Source organism: Homo sapiens, chromosome 18 (assembly GCF_000001405.40).
Source record: "Homo sapiens chromosome 18, GRCh38.p14 Primary Assembly".
NCBI classification, from domain to species: domain Eukaryota; kingdom Metazoa; phylum Chordata; class Mammalia; order Primates; family Hominidae; genus Homo; species Homo sapiens.
The window spans coordinates 4263421-4276875 of NC_000018.10; the positions used below are offsets into that span (position 1 = coordinate 4263421).

The 13455-nt window shown below is 37.4% G+C and overlaps 1 protein-coding gene and 1 long non-coding RNA gene across 12 annotated transcripts in view; one reads left to right on the forward strand and one right to left on the reverse strand.

Annotated features, from left to right (window-relative positions):
- Positions 1-13455, reverse strand: part of DLGAP1 (DLG associated protein 1) — a 959276-nt gene that overhangs the window by 767389 nt on the left and 178432 nt on the right. The gene's annotated exons all lie outside the window — the stretch shown is intronic.
- Positions 1182-13455, forward strand: part of DLGAP1-AS5 (DLGAP1 antisense RNA 5) — a 31399-nt gene continuing 19125 nt past the window's right edge. The window contains exons 1-2 of the long non-coding RNA NR_036489.1: positions 1182-1481; positions 11881-11959. This is a non-coding gene — a long non-coding RNA (DLGAP1 antisense RNA 5). The remainder of the gene's footprint in view (positions 1482-11880; positions 11960-13455) is intronic.

Below are 13455 nucleotides of genomic sequence, written 5' to 3' on the forward strand. Positions count from 1 at the left end.
AAAATTTGTTTGAAGTGATATTTTAAAATAATTTTTAAGTAAATATTAAATAAAATGCATAATTTAAGAAATACAAAAAGACTTTATGAATAGTCCTAAAATCTGATCTACTACCAAATATGGCCAAAGAGGATAAAGAAAATTCTAGATGAAAAATACTTCCATTAAATGTTTAAGTTGAATAAAGGCAAGGCCTATGTCCTCCTCCTCACTTTATCTTGGTAATTGGTGCCCAGAACTTCAATATTTAAAAGAAAAATAAATGGATAAATGTGCAATTAATCAATTCTGGTTCATTTCAGCATATCCTATGGAAGGGCAGTTGCCATCAAATTCAATAGGTGCTCTTTGTACATCATCTTTGTATTTTTTTAATGTGTTTTTTCTTTTAGATAGATTTCAGTTACTTCAGAACATTAAACTACATGAATGAGAAGATATGATTTATAAACATTTTCTCTCAAAATGAATGACTCCCTACTCATTAAAAATAATTTGGTTAATATTGGCTCAACTATTATGATAACGAAAGCAAATAGTCTTTCTGAAGTCAACATTTCTTTAAGCATCACATATGAAGATATTTTCCCACAACTTCTCATAAATATAAATAAGTCATATGTGCTTTGTTAAATTACGTTCTGTAGGACCAGGGTTGGTGAGGCAAAATCAATTATAAAATGGAAAATTCATAAAGTCCATCCAGGAGCTTCCTGTATTTTTAGGAAAAGGATGTTGAGATTTCTTGGAGCCACAGAAATCCTTGTATATTGAACTAAAAATAGAGAGGGAAAGAGAAGATGTGGAAAGTGCATCCATTTGCTCTAAACATTCCAAGGCAATCATTTGCTTTTCTCATCTCCATCCTCTTCCTCTAAGCCAGCAGATGTATGTGCTAGCTTGGCTCCCACACTGAACTCACATTTTGAGATCCACATCCGGTCAGAGGAACAAAGTTCAATGTCATTGTTCTCTGGTAAGTATTGTGTAAGATTTTCTCTTAATCCTTGATGATCTGTCAGTAGCTAGATTCCTGCCCTTGCATCAATAACTACTTCATAAGACTCATTCTTCACCTTCACTGACCTTCAACTCTACACTCTACCTCTGCCTCACCCTTGGTTCCCACTCTGCACTTCCTCCCAGGCAGTCTGCCACCTGGCTTCTCTAACTCCTGCCTTGAGCCAAATCCCGACAGGACTTGTTACTTTCACTTGCTCTTTTTTCCTCCCATTTTAGCAGCCAAGGATGGGAATTACACAGCGAAATGCAGGCTAATCAGCTAAATCTAGATTAAATATGCTAGTCCTTGGGGACCTTGAGCTGAATTAATGGAAACCGAGGTTTTTAATGTTCCAGACTAATTTTGGAAGCTCACTTCCAGCAGAGGCAAACTTGAGGCTGTCCAAAGGGAGCAGATGGCAAGGCTTTCTCCAGGTGCACCAACCTTTGAAACAGCCCTCGGCAAAACCATGAGGAAGGTAGGAAGATTGGAATCTTTGAATCTTACCTTTGAATTTCCTTTTGTGCTTTTCACTTGCTTTCCAGTGCTCCCCTGCCTAGCCAAAACATACCCACCTAGAACTTCTCAGGCTCCCCTTCCTTTCTCTGTGCATCAGACAAAATTCTTTCTCTCAAATAATGACAGATTTCCGGTAAATCTTAATCATATTAATGTAATTTTTCCTTCCTTCCTTCCTTCCTTCCTTCCTTTCCTCCCTCCCTCCCATCCTCTCTTCCTCCCTTCTTTCTCTCTTTCTTTCTTTTTGACGGAGTCTCCCTCTGTCACCCAGGCTGGAGTGCAGTGGCACGATCTCGGCTCACTGCAAGCTTCACCTCCCAGGTTCACGCCATTCTCCTGCCTCAGCCTCTGGAATAGCTGGGACTGCAGGCGACCACCACCACACCTGGCTAATTTTTTTGTATTTTTAGTAGAGACCGGGTTTCACTGTGTTAGCCATGATGGTCTCAACCTCCTGACCTTGTGATCCTCCTGCCTCGGCCCCCCAAAGTGCTGGGATTACAGGTGTGAGCCACTGCACCCAGCCCCTTCCTTCCTTCCTTCCTTTCCTTTCCTTTTTCTTTGTTTCTTCTTTTTCTTTCTTTCCTTCCTTCCTTCCCTCCCCTTCCTTCCTTCCTTCCTTTCCTTTCCTTTTTCTTTGTTTCTTCTTTTGCTTTCTTTCCTTCCTTCCTTCCCTCCCTCCCCTTCCCTCCCTCCCCTTCCCTCCCTCCCTCCCTCCCTCCCTTCCTTCCTTCCTTCCTTCCTTCCTTCCTTCCTTCCCTCCTCTCTTCAGTGTCTCACTGTTGCTCAGGCTGCACTGCAATGGTGCACTCATGTCTCACTGCAGCCTTGACCTCCCCGGCTCAACTGATCTTCCTGCCTCCGCCTTCTCAGTAGCTGGGACCACAGGTGTGTGCCATCATACCTGGCTACTTTTTTTGTTTTTTGGAGAGATAGGGTTTCCCTATGCTGCCCAGGCTGGTCTTGAACTCCTTGGCTCAAGCGATCCTCCCTCCTCAGACTCCAGAAGTGCTAGGATTACAGGCATCACCCACCATGCCCAACTATTAATATAATTAACACTGAATAGTTCAGTATGAGGAACTCTCTTAAGATATTTTGCTCTTATAGTGTGTTTATTAATCTCAGTGATATAATGGAATTTGAAATTTGTAGGATACACAAAAGATCATTTTGACCATGGAGTTACTTTTCATTTAGCTGATTTTTCAAAATAAATTATATTGAATAAAACTACCCATTAGCCAACCAACCTCCATCACTTCTTCTTGCAGGCCCTTTATAAGTAGCTCTACACTCCATCCAACTATACAGCCCTCAAGCTGGGAAAGAATGTAAATTTGAGTTTGCCACAGATAAAGCATGAATAGATTCCACTAATCACTTGCTTGGATGATAAAAATACAATGCCACAGACTAGAGAGCACAGAAAATCACTATAATGGCAATTTGGGCATAAATGCTTATCCTAAGAACTGGAGAACTCCTAGTGGGCTAAATCATTTTTGAAGGCCTCGCTAGATCAACGGGGAGCACAGAGCATAGGTATCTTCAGAGCTGACTGGGGAGGACCTTTGCTTCTTTATTTGTCTGTTCACTTTTTTCTTTATTTCCCTGATTAGCAGGCAACAAGAGGAGATCAAGAAAGTAAAAATAATTATTTCAATTGCTCTTTCATACTTCCAGCAAATTTCTATCTAAAGACAGCAGACAGCACAAGTTTCTCCAGGTGCACCAGTTGCTGGAAAGTCAAAACTAAAAGCTCAATGATATTTGGGTAAATTTCAGATGATTACATACATCCATGTCTTATGACAACAATGATCAAAAATCAACTGCATTCTGGGCAAACAAGCTGTCTGTGATTTTTTTAAAATGATTTTTGAAATCAGCATATGGGCTATATGTATAATTTTTAGTAACTCATTAGATAACATTTACAAGCAAATAAAAGACTCCAAGTGTAATCTTTATATAAATTTGGCATTTTGATCAAGTCTGATATCCATACACTCATCTCAGGTGCTGAGTTTACTAATGTGCTCACCCACCCACTGATAGCTGCCTTAGTTGAACAACTCTTACCTTACTCTTTTGCAACTATTTGCCTTTTCTTTTTCTTCTGCCTGACTTTTTATTAGGTTTGTGTATTGGTTTGGGACATTTTATGACAATAGCTTATCACAAACACAATATCCTGATGAGACTGAAGACCAATATTTGTTTCTATCACTGTAATGAGTGTGTGTGTGTGTGTATCTATCTACCTATCTAATGAGCCTAATATTACAGTCAACTGCTGTCTTAATACTGTGATTAATGCTATGTCTTACCTGCCCACCTGTGCACCTAATCTTTACAACTTCTAATTTGTGGCAGAGATAAATGGACTATCAATGGGAAACTACAAAGATTACTTGCTATTGCTCCTTCCCTTGCAGAAACATTTTGTTGCCCTACAAATTACTTTGGTTAAACTCTACAGTTACATTGTCTGGTTATAAAATGCTTAATGGGAAGTTTCTCCCCACCTCCATTTGTTTTAACAAACACAAGAATTAGAAGATATGTGAGTAATCATAAAATCTCATCTTGCACCCAAAGGAAATATTCCTGTCAGATGGTATATTACTTATCTACAGCTGCATACAAAATTACTCCAAAACTTAGCAATTTAAAACAACACACATTTATTATCTCACCCAATTTGAGGTTTGGGATTGTGGGAGCAGTTTAGTTGGGTGGTTCTGGCTCAGGATCGCACATGAGGCTGCAGTGAAGCTGTCAGCTGGGGCTGCAGTCATCTGACAACTAGGCTGTGGCACAAGGATCCACTTCTACAAGCTGTTGACAAGAGGCTTCACTTCCTCACTGCGTAGGTCTCTCCACAGGGCCACTCACAACATGGCAGCCGGCTTCCCTGAGTGAGTGATCCATGGGAGTGAGAGAGATTGACCAAAATATACGATGCAGTGCCTTTTACAACCAAATCTTGGAAGGGACATACTATCACTTCTGCCATATTCTATTGGTCACATATCATTACTGAAATTCCGGACAAGATCACACAAAGGTGTGAATACCAACCAGGAGAGGGTGGTGAGCAGAGGCCATCTTGGAGGCTGGCTGTCATAGATGTTTGTTCAGTTTCTGACAGGATGGTTACTACCTCAGGTGGCAGCCTATTCCATCTCTGCACAATTAAAACTGTTAGACCAGCTCTTCTCAGACAGGCCAAAATTTAACTTCATTAGAGATGAGGGGAAAGAAACAAGTACAATTCCCTTGATGTTGATGGCTTATATATTCTTGTAGTTATTGGAATATGAACATTTCAAATTGACTGCTATTTTTGGAAATTTCAAAAAGGAATAAACAGTATTTTTTAATAATTTTATTCTACAGTGTAGTTAAATAGAAAGTATGCCGGGGAAGAAAAAAATAGTGAATAAAAGAGAAAGGGAGATTATGAATATAGACAGACTGGAGTGAATACCTATTTGATGCTGAAATAGGTATTAGGATAATATTTATCCCACAACTCTTGCCACACCGGCTGTAATTTATCTCTCCTCTCTTCTCTCCTTATAGTACCAGATTAATTTTCTATTTTCTAGTTTTAACAGCAGGGTTTGTGGGTTACAGCCATTCTAATATCTTGTAACTACAATTTCATTTATGTAATTTGCAGCAAAATATGGCAGAATTGTTAGGTTTCTATAAGAATTATTTTACATATTAAATATAGAAACTATTATTTTGGGAAGAAATAATTATTGAACTTGAAATACTCCATAAATACATATTCTTACTTCAAAGATAATAGATTTCATGTCTGCTTCTTGCTTGAAAACATATAAAAACCAATGGACTAAAATCAATGTATTTAATAACTTTTACATCGGTCCAGTACCAATTTTAAGAAATTACACAATACAGAGATCAGTAAAGAATAAGATCCACCATATAAATAATAATAATTTTGAAGAGTTCTTTTATTCAGTATTGTGTTATATATAATGTTTTTCTTGCTTAGCTATTAGCAGTTTTTTGGACATAATTTGAACAAAGCCAAAATGTAAATGTCAGATTGATGGATTATTAAAAATTGGCAAATCAGAGTAGTCCCAGTTAATATTAACTCTTATAATATCAAGAAATCCCTTTTAAAGGATTAAATAAATCCATTGCTACTTACTGAATTTCTCCCATATTGCAGTAAGATATAGTAAATGTATCCAACAAACGCCAGCCTGATCTTTCCATATATCTACTTAATTTTCATGTAATATTGACTACAATGTTGACTCCCTGAAAGTATAAATAATTTCTCTTTGGAAAACTATCACAATACCATTCATATTCTAATATTCATATTATTTTATATATACATATATATATATATATATATATTTTTTTTTTTCTTTTTGAGACGGAGTCTTGCTCTGTCGCCCAGGCTGGAGTGCAGTGGCGCGATCTCAGCTCACTGCAAGCTCTGCCTGCCGGGCTCACGCCATTCTCCTGCCTCAGCCTCCCGAGTAGCTGGGACTACAGGAGCCCACCACCATGCGCGGCTAATTTTTGTGTATTTTTAGTAGAGACGGGGTTTCACCGTGTTAGCCAGGATGGTCTCGATCTCCTGACCTTGTGATCCACCCGCCTTGGCCTCCCAAAGTGCTGGCATTACAGGCGTGAGCCACCGCGCCCGGCCATATTCTATTATTATTTTATTTTCACCGAGAAATAAAAGCCATTTGAAAGGGCCATTGACATAGTCTATAATTAATGTTACAGCTATAAAGTTAAAATGGCCAATGATAAGTCTAGTTATTAAACATCACAGACATTCTACCAATGCATACATTTATCTAGAAAATGCTAGGGCTGACTATGAGTACTAGGGGGAGAATTTCTTGAGTTCTGACTAATTTTGTCCTGAACTTATGTCTGTTTTAAATTCTGTTTGTAAAGTCTTCTTTCTAGGTTCCCTTTACAAAGGCCTTTTCTACTGCAGCTTGTTTCACTTTAGCATGCTAATGATTGAAATAGAAATTTATGCTATTCACAATAGGATCCTTCACATGTTACAGTAGCATAGTTTAAATGTTCAGAAGCTCTGTGTTAAAATTTAGTTTTTGACAAAATGGCTCAAGTTCCTCTTATTAAAGAACCGGATCTCTCTCATTCTCTGAGAAAGTCCCTTTGTAGATGAGATGCACTACTGCACTGTGTCATCACTAATACAGGGTGGTTTCATTCGCACTTGGCACCTCTCAGGTAGGTTGTTTTGCAATGGCTTTATTTCATTTTCCCCTCTTATTACCCTGCAGCTTATTTAACAGAAAGTGCAAAGCCAAGCCTCACTTTGTTCTTCCTCTGGGGACAACCTACTCTTAGGCAGCAACATTTCTCCTTCCAGCTCACTGTGTCAATGTCTCTCCCACTAGCTCAAATGGCATCATTTGGGAGGCGTATAAAACATTTGGTGTAGGACAGATGATTTGTTACTTTAAAACTTGAGTAAGTAACTTTTCACGAGAATAATTAATTTAGTGATAACATAATATTTTTCCAAAATATTTCACATTGATGGTTTCATCACACAAAACTAATAATTTTTAATGTTTGGAATATATTTTTCTGAAGAGGAGGCTTTATTGAAAATAAAGAACACTTACAAGAAAATAAAGAACACTTACACTGTCCCATCCCTCTCCTTCCCTCCAAATATACCTTCCAAAGCCTCTGACAAGCATTCTATGGCTATTACTAGTAGGTTCAATTTTAATTTAGTAATCAGGTGATTTTATAAGCTTACTTTCCAAAAGTAAAGTTCCAAGAACAACCTTTTATAGAACTGCAGTCATGCATTTAGTGTGGGCATTTCTGAGATGCTGTTTGCAGATGTTGACTTATACCTTAAGTCGTTTTCATGGTGAATGAGATTCCTTAATCACTATGTCCTTTTATTGTTTGATCCTATCACTAGAACATTTTATGAAGTAACAATTTTCATCAGAAAATTTTTCTTTCCCTTGTGGATTATTTTCCAAAGCTTAGAAACATAATTTTAAAGGCAGGTTTCCATCCTGACTCATATTCCAGAAGACACAGAAGCCAGCTGATTCACAATCCCCTCTATAAAGGGGGAGTATTCTTGACTTAGAAAGTGGTTGACAGCTTTCTCCAAGCTGGTTTCACACTAGAATCATTTGGGGAAGTTTTACAAAGAACTCAAGCTCAGATCCAATCCCGAGAGGTCCTGATTTAATTGGTCTGTGGTGAGTAGGCCCCAGGACCAATATTTTTGAAGCTCCCTCCCGAAGTACTTCTAATGATTGTTAATCATTAACCTCCAACCTCTAGTTGGAACATTTACAAATACTTTACCATGTTGTTCTTGCTTTTCATGATACTACCTAATTTCACATATATGAAGTGAGAGCAAGTAAGGCAATCTTAGAGAAACATATCATTTGCCTGGTATCCTTTGGGAATGATTATTATGAATGAAAGAATACTGCAAATAAGAAAAATTTGGCCTACCAATGGTGAATATTAAATATTTAACCAAATTTGTTGGGAATTTTTCTAATAAATATTATGTAAGTCTATACCTTGAAGAAAATATACTAAACATTATTTAATCTTTTCTTGATGGTTCAATATTATCATTGTAGACACCTGTAGTTGTATTAGCTTGTCTTTGTAATATTTCTACTCCTCCACTTAATGGTATCAGAGTTGTGAAAGTTTTTGGAGGTGGTGATTCTTATCATGCCTCAGTCTCAATTATTACTTCTTAGTGATTTTAACCCACCTATTTCCCTTTGCTTTTGACCTTTCTGCTTCAAATATAATGATGTAAATATTGATTATGCTGAAATGACTTAATATATTTTGAGAAGACCTTAAAGCTTGAGGGAACAGGTAATCATGCTCATTAAATCAAGTACCCTTTTTGATGCACACAATTCATGTTTAGTAGGCTCTGTGGTGAGAACACAGGAATGGCTCTTCTGCAAGAGAAAGCACTTGAAGACTGAGACCAAGTTTCCTCCTTGCAATTCTTTATCCATTTTTTTCTTTCATGACTGTATTCAGATATTTTAATATTTTAGGCTTATGATCTGTGCAGTGTATTCCAACTTTATGAAGTTAGGCTAATATTAAGGTAGAAGAGTATGAATAGTATTAAATGGTGTATTGCGTAAGAAATATATATTTATCTCACTTCTTAGAACTGCGTAATTCTTTGTCTACTTCTGTCATTAAAATTGCTTCTGAAGAACTGTCATCTACAAACTTATATAAGATTTCCTCATCTGCAGCTTTTTTGAAGAATGCATCAAAAAGTTACAGTATAAGGTGTGATGTGAATTCAGTTTATTTTACCTTTTTTTGTTCTTTGGGTTAAAGCCAGGAGAGATTTTTAAGTATGAAATATATATGTAATATTAGATGAATATATTATCTCACTAAATAGTATCCCTGAGCTAAAACTCCCTGTCAACCATGCAGAGCAACATAGCAGCCATGTGATGGCATTTCAGTTACAAAATACTGGAAAATGTTAAACTTGTCAAATAATAATCCGACTTAGTCCCTTAGCCCCCAGGCTGAGTAATTCCAGGCTATTTTCTCTGCCATCAGCAGGCCACCATGAGATCAGACTGTTTTGCAGCACCATATGAAGTAAAAAGCCAGAGACACAGATTCAACATATATAAAAGGATTTCCTATTGCCCTAACTCTTCTACGGGAAAGCGTTTTATAGTGGCCTACATTGTATGCCCTCAAAATATATGTTCAAGTGCTAACCCTTGAAACCTGTGAATGTGACCTTGTTTGGAAATGGGTTCTTTGCAGACATAATTAGTTATAACGAGATCACACTGGTTCAGGGTGGCCCCTACATCCAACGACAGGTATCCTTACAAGAAGAGGAGAGGTCACACAGAGAAAACCTTGTGAAGGCAGAGGTGGAGACTGCAGCTACAAGCCAAGGCATGAACAGTAAGGATTGCTGGGAGCCATGAGAAGCTAGGATGCATCAAGGAGGGATTCTCATCAAGGGCCTTCAGAGAGAGGAAGGTCCTGCCAGCACCTTGACTTTGAACTTCTAGCCTCTAGAACTGTAAGAGGATAAATTTCTGTTGCTTTACCACCTCTCCACACCCTATTTGTGGTAATTTGTTACTGCAGCCTCCAGGAAACTAATACAGCATTGAAACAAAAACTTTCCATTATAGCAAATTTGAGTGTGGAGAAGGAAAGCAATCATTTGTTAACCTCTCACCATGTTGAGAAATAGCCTGATCTCTTAAACCCTCCATGCACCCTGCCTCTCCCGCTCTTGCTTCCCCAGCATACATGGGTCTCCTCTTGGTACTTGCTCTCCTTTTCCTGGTCTTGGCTGAACCAAGAAATCCCTCACATACTTTACCCAGCACCACCAGGTATTACTGATGATGTTCCATGGCACAGCATTACAACCATTCTGTGAATGTTGTTTTTACAGAATGAAAGCAACACTGTCACCTAGGCTGGAGTGCAGTGGTGAGATCATAGTTCAGTGTAACTTCAAACTCCCGGGCTCAAGCAATCCTCTCACCTCAGCCTCCTGAGTGGCTATGACTACAGGTGGACGCCAAAATGCCTGGCTAATTTTTTGTGGAAATGGGGTCTCACCCTGTTACCCAGGCTGGTTTTAAATTCCTGGGCTCAAGCAGTTCTCCCAATTCAGCCTCCCAGATAGCTGGGATTACAGGCGTGAGCCACTGTGCCCCTCCTTAAGTTAATTTTTACATATGGTGAGAAATGGGAGTCCAACGTCATCCACTTTGTTGGTGTGTAATTGTTCATAGTATTTTCTTACAATGCTTTTTTAATTTTTGTAAAATCACTGGTAACATTCCTACTTTTACTTCTGATTTTAGTAATTTGTCTTCTCTCTTTTTTTTCTTGATCATCAGTCTAGCTAAAGGCTTGTCAATTTTTTTTATCTTTCTGAACAACCAGCTTTTAGTTTCATTGATTTTTACTATAATTTTTGTTGTTTTAAATTTCACTAATTTCTGCTCAAATCTTTATTATTTGTTTTCTTCTCTCTCATTTAGGTTTAGTTTGCTTTTTTTTTTTCCTCCGTCTTAAGGTGGAAGGTTAGGTTATTTATTTAACTCTTCTTTTTTCACAAAAGCCCTTACGGTTATAACTTTCCCTCTAAGTAACACTTTATCTGCATTCCATAAGTCTTACTATGCTTCCTTCATTTTCAGTCATCTCAAAGTGTTTTTGGATTTCTTTTTTAATTTCTTCTTTGACCCGCTGGTTATTTAAGAGTGTGTCATATAATTTCCACATATTTGTGAGTTTCCCCAATTTTTTCCTGCTATTGATTTCTAATTTCATTCCATTTTGGTCAGAAAATGTACTTTGTATTATTTCTTTTCTTTTAAAGTTGTTGAGGTTTGCTTTATGGACTAGTATATGGTCCATTCTGGAAAACAGTCCTCTTCCCTCTCACTTTGGACAGTCGAGAATTTACTCAATATCTTTAATTCTAACTTAAAATAGAAATAATATATAGCCAATTCTTCACTGGAATCTGACTCACATTAGAGAGCTTTGATATTATAATCAGGCTATGTTTACTCAAATGTCAATACAGGTAGATAGGCACTACACATCCATGCAGGCCTCCTTCATTTAAATCATTGCAGAAACTTGCACTTGTAATTTAATAGCATCATAATTCTGACAGCTATAATTGAGAAAACCACAACAATTGAGTATTTGAAAACCCCGCTTTTAGTAGATAAGAAGTAGAAATGATGTTTATTTTGTCATAAATGAACACACTAAACCATTTAAATAACTGCATAAGTAATATTTGACTGGACTTATTATAGAGTAGTGAGAGACAAAACCAGTCCTGACCATGAATGTTCTAAGAAAAAATAGACTCCACTGATCATTAATGGGAACAAATTGGTAAGATGCTACTAAATAATATTTTTGAAATTTAAGAAATAATCTTTCAAAGAATTTATCAAAATGGGACTGACTTCTAATTTGGGAAATTGGTGAATTAATATGGGAATATATAATAATCATACATCTATCTGCTAGCAAATTGTAATCAGCATTATAAACTGTACTTACTAGTAATGAGAGAGTATCAAAATGCATTTAAAAATCATATACTTTTCATTATTTCCATTAAGGTGTCTGGTCCCCATGATGTCTCTAATGACTTTGACCAGTACCGTCCCATTTGCTCACTCCACTCCAGCCACACTGGCTACTTGCTATTCTAGGAGCTCTCCCATCTTTTCACTGAGTGCTCTCTCTCACAGGAATGCTCTTCCCTTAGAGATCCTCGTGGTGAATTCCCTCATTTCCTTCAAGTCTGCTCAAATGTTACTTCTCAAACAGGTATGCATGTATTTAAAATCCTATTTGAAATTCAACCTGCCTCCATGTTTCTCCCACTGTTGGCAATCTTGATCCTCTTACTCTAATATAAGTTTTTCTATGTTGAATAACATTTATCATTTTCTAACACCCTCCATAATTTACTTGTTTATTATGTATATGTTTTGGTCCTTCTCCCCATGCTAGAATGTAAATCCTAACAAAGCAAGGATTTTAGCTGTTTTTTTTTTTCTCTCGCTAGAATATCATAAATGCCCAAAACTGAGCATGGCTCATTCTTGCAAGAAATACTTATTGGGCACTTACTAAATGCTAACTATTGTGCTAGTCATACTATTAGACGATGTGTTAAAATTTATGTGTTCACTGCTCTCATGGAGTTTATTTCTGAGTGGCAGAGATGGAGGCTAATTAATAATCATATACAATAAAATATAAAGTTGAGATACATATTTATTCTGAAGAAATAAAGTCTTATGAAAATATAACAAAGAAAATATATCCAGAAGTGAGTTCATTGATTAGAAAAGCCTTTGCTCAAATATCAGAAAGTTATTCTTGAACTGAGATATGAACTACAAGCAGGAGTTTACAAGGGAAAGAGAACATGCAAATATTCTGTGGCTAGGAGGAGCAGAAAAAAGAGAGAGGACTATATGGGGTAGCAGGAGGGTATGAGGGTTCAGCCGGAAAAGACCTTATGGGCTGAATGATAGTTTTGTCTATTGTCCAAGAAAAATGGGAAACCACTGATGTGTCTCTTTTTTGGCGGGGGGTGGGAGGGGGCTTGATTTTTTTTTTTTTTTTAATGCAGGGCAGGAGACAGGGGGAGGCATAAGAAATAGGATCATAATTATGTTTTGATGAGCTGACTTTGACTTTGGCTATAGTGTGGAGAATTGTAATGAGCTCTGATTATTCAGGATCTTTTTAGAATTTCTGTTTATAGATGGAGGTTAAAATAAGTTAAACAAGGCTGGGCACGTTGGCTTATCCCTGTAACCCCAGCACTTTGGGAGGCTGAGGCAGGCGGATCACTCGAGGTCAGGAGCTCAAGACCAGCCTGGCCAACGTGGTGAAACCCTGTCTCTACTAAAAATACGAAAATTAGCCGGGTGTGGTGGCATGCACCTGTAATCCCAGCTACTTGGGAGGCTGAGGTGGGAGACTCACTTTAACCCAGGAGGTAGAAGTTGCAGTGAGCTAAGATCTCGCCACTGCACTCCAGCCTGGATGACAGAGCAAGACACCAGCTTGAAAAAAAAAAAATAAACAAATATATTTTCTCATAGGAGTATTTCATGGTAAAAGTAAAATGTCTTACAGTATAATTCTACCAATAGGTAATTTTCAAAGTCTATTTTTTATGCATAAGGTCAGAGAAACTCAAGAAATTAATATCTGGTACTCTAAATTTTGTGTGATTCTTAAGTGAAGTTTAAATAAGAAATACAGATTTCTGTGTCTGACTAGAGTTGTATCAGTAAGTATAAATA